This window comes from Homo sapiens, chromosome 12 (assembly GCF_000001405.40).
Source record: "Homo sapiens chromosome 12, GRCh38.p14 Primary Assembly".
NCBI classification, from domain to species: Eukaryota; Metazoa; Chordata; class Mammalia; order Primates; family Hominidae; genus Homo; species Homo sapiens.
This window is the reverse complement of record NC_000012.12, coordinates 88,570,921-88,580,491: the sequence shown is the minus strand read 5'-3', so window position 1 is coordinate 88,580,491 and position 9,571 is coordinate 88,570,921. Positions and strand designations below refer to the sequence as shown.

At 38.7% G+C, this 9,571-nt stretch overlaps 1 protein-coding gene across 2 annotated transcripts in view; it reads left to right on the top strand.

The window, feature by feature from the left end:
• KITLG (KIT ligand) overlaps positions 21–9,571 on the top strand; it is an 87,679-nt gene continuing 78,128 nt past the window's right edge. For both annotated transcript variants that reach the window (NM_003994.6, NM_000899.5), the window contains exon 1: positions 21–228. In NM_003994.6, the coding sequence (NP_003985.2) occupies positions 214–228 (15 nt within the window). In that variant the 5' untranslated portion in view covers positions 21–213. The remainder of the gene's footprint in view (positions 229–9,571) is intronic.

The following is a 9,571-nucleotide window of genomic DNA, read 5'->3' as shown; positions in this document are numbered from 1 at the left end:
GCCGGCGGCTCAGCAGCCGGGCTTCGCTCGCCGCCTCGCGCCGAGACTAGAAGCGCTGCGGGAAGCAGGGACAGTGGAGAGGGCGCTGCGCTCGGGCTACCCAATGCGTGGACTATCTGCCGCCGCTGTTCGTGCAATATGCTGGAGCTCCAGAACAGCTAAACGGAGTCGCCACACCACTGTTTGTGCTGGATCGCAGCGCTGCCTTTCCTTATGAAGAAGACACAAGTGAGTAGGGCGCGCCCGGGAGCTCCCAGGCTCTCCAGGAAAAATCGCGCCCGGTGCCCCGGGGAAGCCGGCGCTCCCTGGGACTTGCAGCTGGGGCGTGCAGGGCTGTGCCTGCCGGGTGAGACAAGAGGATGCGGGGGAGGCCGGCGTGGTGTGTGATCCCGAGCCGAGCCGGGTGAGCCAGGGAGAAAAGGAGTGGGAGTGCTGAGAGGGAGCCAGTGTCAAGTTTGGAGCCTCAGCAGTTAAGTTTTGAGCTGTCAGTCGGAAACCGTAATTCCCGTCTGGTGGAAAGATTGGCTTTTGGGCCATGGAATGTTAAGTTATCACGGGAAGGCATGTCTTTGCATAGGAGACGGTTTTCCCGTGGATTCCAGGAGATTATGAAACAGCACCCCACGCGCCACCCTCACTAGCTCTCTCACTCAGATTTATTTGTGTAGCCCCGAGGTGGGCGCCGGGCACCAGGAGCGGCGCGAACGCGGGTGCAGCCGCGGGAGCGAAGCCAACGCGGAACTCCTAAGCGGCAGCTCTCGGCGGGGCGGGAACCTGCCCGCCTGCCCGGGAAACTTGGCTCTCGGCGGTGTCTGCCTAGTTTGCAGCTCTGTGTGGGCTCTAAAGAGCTCTAGTACCTCCACAATGCACGCACCTTTTTCCATTTCAAAAGGGATAAAGGCTTTTTATAAAATAGGCACCTCTGAATGATAGTGATTGAGATAATTCCCAGTGCTGCTAAATTCTGCATTATACATAAAGCACTGTGGGTAAAGCGCTGCCTGGGGGGACAATTAGATTTTTTTTTCCCTTGAAGAAAATACCTGGTTCTTCGTTTAGAAAGGGCCGCCACGGTGCCCCTATCCACAGTTCTCTTCACCATTGTTGATTGTTACCTCCTCTCACTTTCCCCCTTAGAAATTGTTATGTGTTATCTGCCGCGGTTGGCTAAGGGTTGCCCTTTCACCCCCCAGAGGTTCTGTTGGAGATTGCAGTTCCTGAAATGTGTGGAAGGGGTGGAAGTGGTGGGGAAAAAGGAAACCGGGGTGTTTGTACACATCGTTGGTGTAGAATGAAGGCATCAATGTGCTCAAAATGCTTTATCAAATGACCTGCTTAGCATCATATTTTAAACAGATATCTAGGCCTGCAAAAAGTTGCAAGACTCTAGCCCCTTGTACCGGTGTGGTAAAAGGCAGGGGAAAGGGACATTGCCTGGCTAAAAGAGGCTTGCATAGTCTCTAGAGCACTCTCTAAGAGAAAAGACGCGATGTGCCTCTCCCCTCTCTTACAAGCAGGTTAGCTTTCAGGCAAGGCATTGAGCACCGCACCTGGAATCACCACAGCGTGCTGTCGAAATGCAAATGTTAAAGATTCTTGCAACAAAAGAAAAGTTTTATTGTAATCTCTTGATTTAGACAAGCTTTCTGCGAAATTATAAGAAGGGTAGAGACCTATTCCTTCTTATAGTAGCATCTGCTCCCATGGATGGTGGTGAGATCTGGGGGAAGAAGCTGCTACCTTCTAGTTCAGGAAAAGAGCCTAAACCTTCCTATTTAAACAAGAACACAGGAGACAGATAAGGTTAATGTCCAACACTCCAAAGCCAGGGGATGTACTATCAAGTCACTTTGAGAGGCAGTAGGATTGATTATCCTTGCACCCTTGCTTTGCAAAACAAATGTGAGCTCTGTAATCTCCTTTCTCGCTTTGATTAAATGGCTGTGTAAATCGGATTACATGGAATAATTCCATTGAAAACTAGAAAGAGGTCAATCTAGTCTGAAACATTGTGACTGTGGCATTAGTGACTCAGTGCTGCCGACCAGAGAAATTTGAGAAAGCTAAGTATTTTAGATATGTGACCTGTTCGGTCACACATCACACAAGTTAAAGTGCAGGCCCTTTGGGGGAACTTGCTGATGTTAAACGGCTTGTAGGCAAAGGAGGGCAGTACCCTTGTTGAATGAAGGCATTCATTGCCTAGGATCTAATGACCTTCAAGGTTTTTTTTAAGAATACTTCTAGCGATTCCACAGTCACTGAAAAAGGGGACACTGGAAATAGCCCAAAATCAATAAAATAATCTGCAGAAATGGAGGAGGGGATTAGATCTTTCATATTGTTAAATTTTCTAATCCAAAAATTACAAAGACATTTTCTGTGCAATGCTGCATGGATGGAAGGTAGCCTATGTAAATTGGACATTAAGAAATAGGATCGATTGTTCTGATTCTAATGTTATCCTCACCAGGGAAGAATATCTATTAATATTTAGTAGTTTAAATAGTCATTTATAAACATGGCATCAATACCATGGTTCTATTATAAAGCAACTTGTTCTGTACTCTCCTACTACCCCACATATAAAAAAAATTTATAGTAATATTTTAAAATGGGGTTTGATTTGAATTACACAGCTCTCCAAGAATCATGGGGACTCCAGGTATTCTGGCCTTTCCGTCAAGCTAAGTAAGTGTGAAAATTCCATCAACAACCACTTGGGGTTTGATGAATGATTCATTCATTTAGCATGTTGGTACACTTCAGTATTTCCAATATAATGACACAGGCAATAAATTTAAGCACAGTTCTACAGAAATGAATGTCTTTTGAATTTTTCAGATTTCTGTTTGATTTTATTTTATTCAGATTGTGTGGTTTTACAGTTTTCTAGAGGTGTTTGTGGCTTGGGCTTAGAAAAAACATCTCTTTCAATGTGTAACTATTTTTTAAACATAATATTCTGATACACCATATTGGATAACAATCAAGGCACCATATTTTGCAACACTGATTAAGATTTGGTTAAAAGTGCCATTAGCTTAATGTGCCTGGTGTTACATTTATCAATGTTGTGCTTACATTTTAGTTTGGGGATGGTTTGTGAGAAGTGTCATAACTCCTGTCAATTTCAGAAATACTGAGATAAGAAAGATTGATCTTGCAAACAATGTAAAAAAGGCCATTTTAGGCATACTAACTCTCAGAGAATAAGCAAATAGAATGCTAATTTTCACTACTCCAAAGAAAATATCTCTTTTATGTCTGTATGAAGTTTGTCATGTGGGTGATGATGCAAGTTTACTTTGTAGAAGAAAATTAACATACTTATGAAAAGAGCATTTTTTTAGTCTTGTCCTTAAGATCACTCAATTTGGAATGTATGCTTTGAATAATTCCAATTTATGTAGCTTTTAATTGATACATTCTGCCAAGACTTTAAAACCCAAGTGCTAAGTTGATTACATTTAACATAAAACAAGGAAAATAACCATATGGAAATCTGAAAGTCTGGGCCAAACCAATTAAAATTGCTAAATTTTATTTACGTCTAACTGCTGATTTGAAGATAGCAAATTCTGGGTCACATTTTTTTTTTAATAATAGGTGACTGAAATGTTTCCATCACCATAAATCACATAAAAATTTCTCACTCAAATAGCAAGTGTGGGTATTGGAGGTTTTTTACATGGATTGGCAAATTCCACTACATGTGGCCTTCGCTTTATATCTGAGAATAAACCATATCTGAGCATATATGAGAAACACCTAAAATATGGTTGGTAGAAGGATTCTAGGTTCTAGCTTCTGAAGACTTAGATTCTAATTCCTGTTTTACTACTCATGAGACAAATGACCTTAGGCAAATATTTGTTAAACTTTTTGGGATTTCTGTTTTTTGTAATCTGTATGATGATTATAAAAGTTATAAAGATTTTTCTCGCATGGTGGTTTTAAGGACTAAATGAAATTTTATATGTGTCTTTATACCAGCATAGTAGCTTACTATATGTACAGTTTGAATTTATTGTTCCTGAGAAGAGAGTGCCTGCTGGCCTACTTTTACAAGCCAGAGAAAAACTGACTTATTGCAGGTAAATTATGCCTAATGAACCAAGCACAGAGACCAAGTTTTCCTAAATCTACGTCTGTCGATTTGGTGACTCCCATGATAGGCTAATATCTGTTTATAGACTATAATTAAGACACATCAATCCAGGAATATGTGAAGACAAAGGTGATATGTGGGCTTAAGAGGTGCTACGTTTTTGAAGGTTTTTCTTTTAAAGTACAAATGAATGAGATAATTAGAATAGAAAATAGAAATGGAAAATGGAAATATTATCTTTATCGCTGACTCAGTTTCATATTTCTACACTCTTGCTAAGTTCTCCTTGTATGATTCTAAGGAATTATTTCATTTTATTTTATTTTATTTTGGACTAAAGAGACTTGGTTAGTTTCCCATCCCTAATGTTCTCGCACTTGCTTTTCTGAGTGAGGCCATGCATTCATTTCTGTGGGGTGTCTTTGTTGTCTTTACCAGGCAACGTGCAGTGACATTTTTTTTTCATTATGCTAGTTTGAGACTTTTATTTTTCTTTTCTGGATTATCTTAATGTTCCCTTTTGTAAATTATTTTTATTCCCTTTTGTAAATTTTATTCCCTTTTGTAAATTAGGGCAAGGCATTTGGATATAAATCTCTGAAGAGTGATCTTTTATCTTTCTTTCTAGCACATAAATCATGAGCAGCTGCAAGAAACTGTTCTTGGTCTTACACACTGTTCTTGGTCTTAGTCACGTGTGTAGACAGAACAATTTACAAAACAAGTTGAGGGAACACCAAGATATTTTTATAATATATGCTGCTTTCAGGGTTGTTTTGTATAGGCTCTGTTTCATAGAAACAATTGACTGCAGCCTTTCTGATTTATAGATGCAGCAAGATGTGTTTGCCTTTTCACTTAATTATGGGTATACTAAAAACTGTTTACAGGGGCTGGGAGTTTAAGAGAATTGTCATGATCTCATCTCTACCTATTTCTTTCTCTATAGAAAAAAGAGGTGGGGGAGTGATTTTCTCATAGTTGGGGCTCATGGTTCTTTCTTTAAAATCATAATGTGTGTCATCTAAAGGAAGACTGTTCTTTATGTACCTGTCTTTGTCCTTTGGCTACATTTTACTATTTTTGTAGGCTGCCACTTTGGCTTGGATATTAGGAGGCTGATTTCTTTTATTAACCTGGATAATAAGTAGTAGTAATTTGGGAAATTATTTGAACTCCAGATCTTAGTTTGCTCAACTGTAAAATGAGTAAGTGAGACTAGGTGATTTCTAAGTGCCTTCTGGTTCTAAAATTCTCTATTTCTAAAGTACTAGTAAAATAGATATTTGAACCAGATGGTATTTAAGCTTCCTTCAGTTCTCAGATTTATGCAGCCATTGCTTCAGTGTGAATGCACATTATAACCATTGTTTTATGATTATGAATAAGCCAATGGGGAGAAATGAAGGAGATTTAAATTTAGACTGTTCTACTTTTATGCATTTCACCTACTGCTTGATATTTCTTTGTAAAAAGAATGGTATTTACACTTTCCTGTTTTAGCAAAATCCATAGTTAAAGAGGATCTTTACTTTCTCTGTTCTAAATTTTTAAGTTCTATGAAAAAGAATTCTAAGATAAAGTCAGCTAACCAGAGGAGATAAGCTTACAAAAGGTAATGCTTCCCTGTATTTGCCTGTTTTTTTTCTGTCCCTTTAACTTCCAGTACGTGTGTGCATGGAGTTGAAATGGAGAAAGAAAACCAAGAAGGGATCTGATGATGTAGTAGAAAGAGCACTGAGGGGAGAATCAGAGGAACTGATCCTACCCTTTGCTCTGCCTCAAGATGTGTGACCTTGGACTAGTCTCCCAGTCTTAGTATCTCTGAATCATGCCCAAGATAGTTAATCCTGAGAAGATAGTGAAGATGAGAGGCTGCAGCTGGAGACACGGAGGTGGAAAGAGGAGGGAGCCTCAGGGAAAGGCAGTTCCTGCAGATGATACTATGCCAAATCTCTCCTTGGCTGGCTTTTGTCTGGGTCCAGTACCATCCTTGGAACAGTGCTTGCTTACCTCCTTTCCTTAGCTGAGAGCTGGAGCAAACCCAGCAGCTAGCCGTAGCCCTTTTCTTTTTTTCTTTTTTTTTTTTTCTTTTAGCAGTCAGAAGCTATGGCAGTCTTTTCTTGTTGACATGAGAATATTCCAAGATCAGCTGGACCCTCCTCAAGCTAGGAGAACACACATTTCTCAGAAAACAGGGCCACAACCATGAAGATAATGTTCTTCTCTAATCACTGGCATTGCCCACTGAGCTATCCACTAAAACAAAGTTTAGAATTGAGGCAATAGTCTAGAAAATTTAAAAAAAAAAAAAAGTAGCAATGGCTATTATTGGGATATTTGGATGCAGAAATTCAGCACTTGACTTTGTGCCTGTAGCTGTTGCCCTGGGGCTCTTGAATGCTGCTGATTAGAACATGGGTAAATTGGGAGGGAGCGGGGCAATAAGGTAGCCTTTTCTGTGTTCCAGGTACACAGACAGCAGCTCAAACTTTGTCTGTTGCTCACAAAGAATGCCTTTGCTCTTTAGGGTGACCATGTAAAAGGACATGAAAGGACCACCGCAAACTCATCGGTGCTCACTTGAAAAAGCAAGCCTTGTTCACCTTTGCAGAAAGGGCATCCCCACTGCATAATTGCATCCCTGTGCAAACCTGGGAAGAAAGAGCACAGGTTGGAGGGGGGCGTTGTGTTTGTCTTGTATGCCCATACTGTGTTGCCTTTTCAGGAGCAGAAGTTCATCTGCTGAACATAAGCCCTGTGAGTGCTTAGAACTTTTCCCTCTTTTTCACCTTGACATAAAATCCCTAAAGCTGAGGACCTTTCCCTTTCAATGTCTTCACTCTGCTCCAGGGCTGAATTGCATCTCATTATTGGCTTGTTTCACCTAAATGTGAGTATTTGAGTGGCAGTGAACCAGGTTGCCTCTAAGGAATACAACTGAATAATGGTGGTCTATTGTGAAGGAACCTCTTAGGGCCCTACAGTGCTGAGTTTTCTACTGTTTACTTGGAGTTCCTTTCTCAGTGCCTTCCCAAACAACTGCCTTGGGAAAACACACAGATTCTTTGGCTTCCAAGAAGAGTGTGACAGAGAAAGTGTGCTTTGTTATAAAGGCCTTGTCACCCTCCTGGATGTGTTATCCATATCGATGTACTGGCTGTTAAAATTCATGTTCACTGCAGAACTCTAGATGGAGGAGTGGTAAGAAGGGAGGGTAGAGATGTTTTCATATAAAATTGTTTCTAATGTGATCTAGAAAACCCAAGGATTGCAACACAGACCTCAGCAGTCATACATCATTATTTATGGTTCTGTGTAAATGTACAATTTAACGCTTCTGAAATAGTAAACACATTAGGGATTTCCTTTTTTGATGAACAACCAAAAGCTCTGTGATTGCTTTAGTTTGGATTTCTCGCAACTTTAGAAAACTGCTGTATTCCGTGGGCCCTACTCATAAATCTTTGATGTGCTCTGTTAGTCAGAGGACTGACCTTAGCACATTTGTCATTCTGCTGTTTGAAAGATACATTATCACAGTATAGGAGAATGGCTGGTGCTTTCTACTTCCAGGTGGTCCAAAGTGGGAACTAAACAAAATGAGGGGATAATAAAGGGATTAGGCAACATTCATGAAAAATTCAGAGGAAATTATTAGCATAATGTTTTTACTATTTGGATGACATTAATTGTATGTAGAAAAGCACTGAACTACAAAATAGGGCTTACATAATTCTTCCAATATCTTTGTAACAAATTATATATATATATATATATATATAATAATGTATATAATATATATATAATGTACATATTTATATTTATTCTTAGCCCCTGCCCAGAAAAGTGTTTTTAAAACTTTACTTCCTGTTTGTAATGTACTGAAGCCACAGTACTCTATGCTTTAATAATACTTTAAAAATAATGTACCTTTTTTTAAAATATGAAACTAGGGTCTTTAAGAAAAAAATGTATTTAGGCATTTATTAGGCTTGCTTGATTTATTTCATATATAGATACACATATGACTGTAGCTAATTTTAATTTAAAATTATAAGTAGCTTCTAATAATACTAGCAAATCCTTATATAATGCTCACAATGTCAGGACCTGTTCTAAGCCGTTTGCATTTATTTATTTATATTTTTCAATAATGAGACTTTTAAATCCAAGACTGATTTGACCATTTATTGTTTGCACTTCTGTACAAATGTCACACATAATGATTCAACTTGAAGAGATGAAATTTACTGTACTATGTGTCAAGTGTTTGGCATTTAAATGTGTAGCCATTTTAAATAGCTTCTATCATTATATTATAAAATCAAACCATCCTGATAATAGATCATGCCAAAATGGCACTTAGTAGAAAACAGTTCCAAGATTAATTAATTCACAGCACTTTTCCGCTGAGAGGTAGTTATTATTTTTTTAAACCCCATTTCACAGATAGGAAAACTAAGACAAGGTCTTTCTCCTGCCAATCCCAGGTGTTTATTGCAAAAGAGACTCAGCTGGCATTAACCACAGCGCATTAGTGTGGCTTATTTAATACCTCAAAGATATGCATTCTGTTTACATGAACATTGAATCAAAAACAAATGCAACTCAGATGTTCAAAAAAGCTGCCAGTAATAGAATTTGGACAACAAAAATTTCATGATTGCAGTTGCCTCAAAGAGTGGCTCCTGCCAACTGCTCAGTAAATACACTTGGAATGTTGTGAAATGAATGGAGACCTAATTCAGGTTGTTAGATACTGATACATTTTTTATAAGCCTTTTTTCTAATGGCAAAATTTTAACAATTGTGCTAGGTCTGTTATACACACAAATGTGTTTGGTGCATGACTGGCAAGGCTACTTTGTTTACTATTTTACAGCATTAATTTTCAGTGAATGCATAACATCATTTACTTAGTGAAACTGGAGACAATGTGAGAGAATAGCAAAGGTTTGAATGGATATAGATCAAATGTAGTATTGGTTCTGCCACTTACCAACCCCAGTAAGTTTTTCTCTTTGAACTTCACTTTCTCAATATTTAAAATGGGCACAGAAGTAACCACCTAGTAGTAGTATTGATGTGATAATTAAAAGAGATAGACTGTCTAACATCACAGCAACTGGCACTTACTTAATAGAGCATTGTTTCCTTCTCTAAAAGAATAGTAAATCACACAGAACATTATACAAATCTGTATGCTGTAAGAAATAACTTCAGTGTTAGTAATTCCTGGCTTTGGCTATAGGGCTTTCATAAATAAAAAAATTAAAACCAATCCTTAGAGACTAATAGCTTAACTCTCTTATTTATACGTTATCTATCTTATTTGACACTCATAAACACCCTTAGCAAATTTTTAGAAAATTTTCCCAATTTTATCTTCTTTACTTTTCTCCCCTTTCTGTTGAAAAGAAATAACAAAGTAGGCCAAAGACAAGCTGTTTAAGAAGT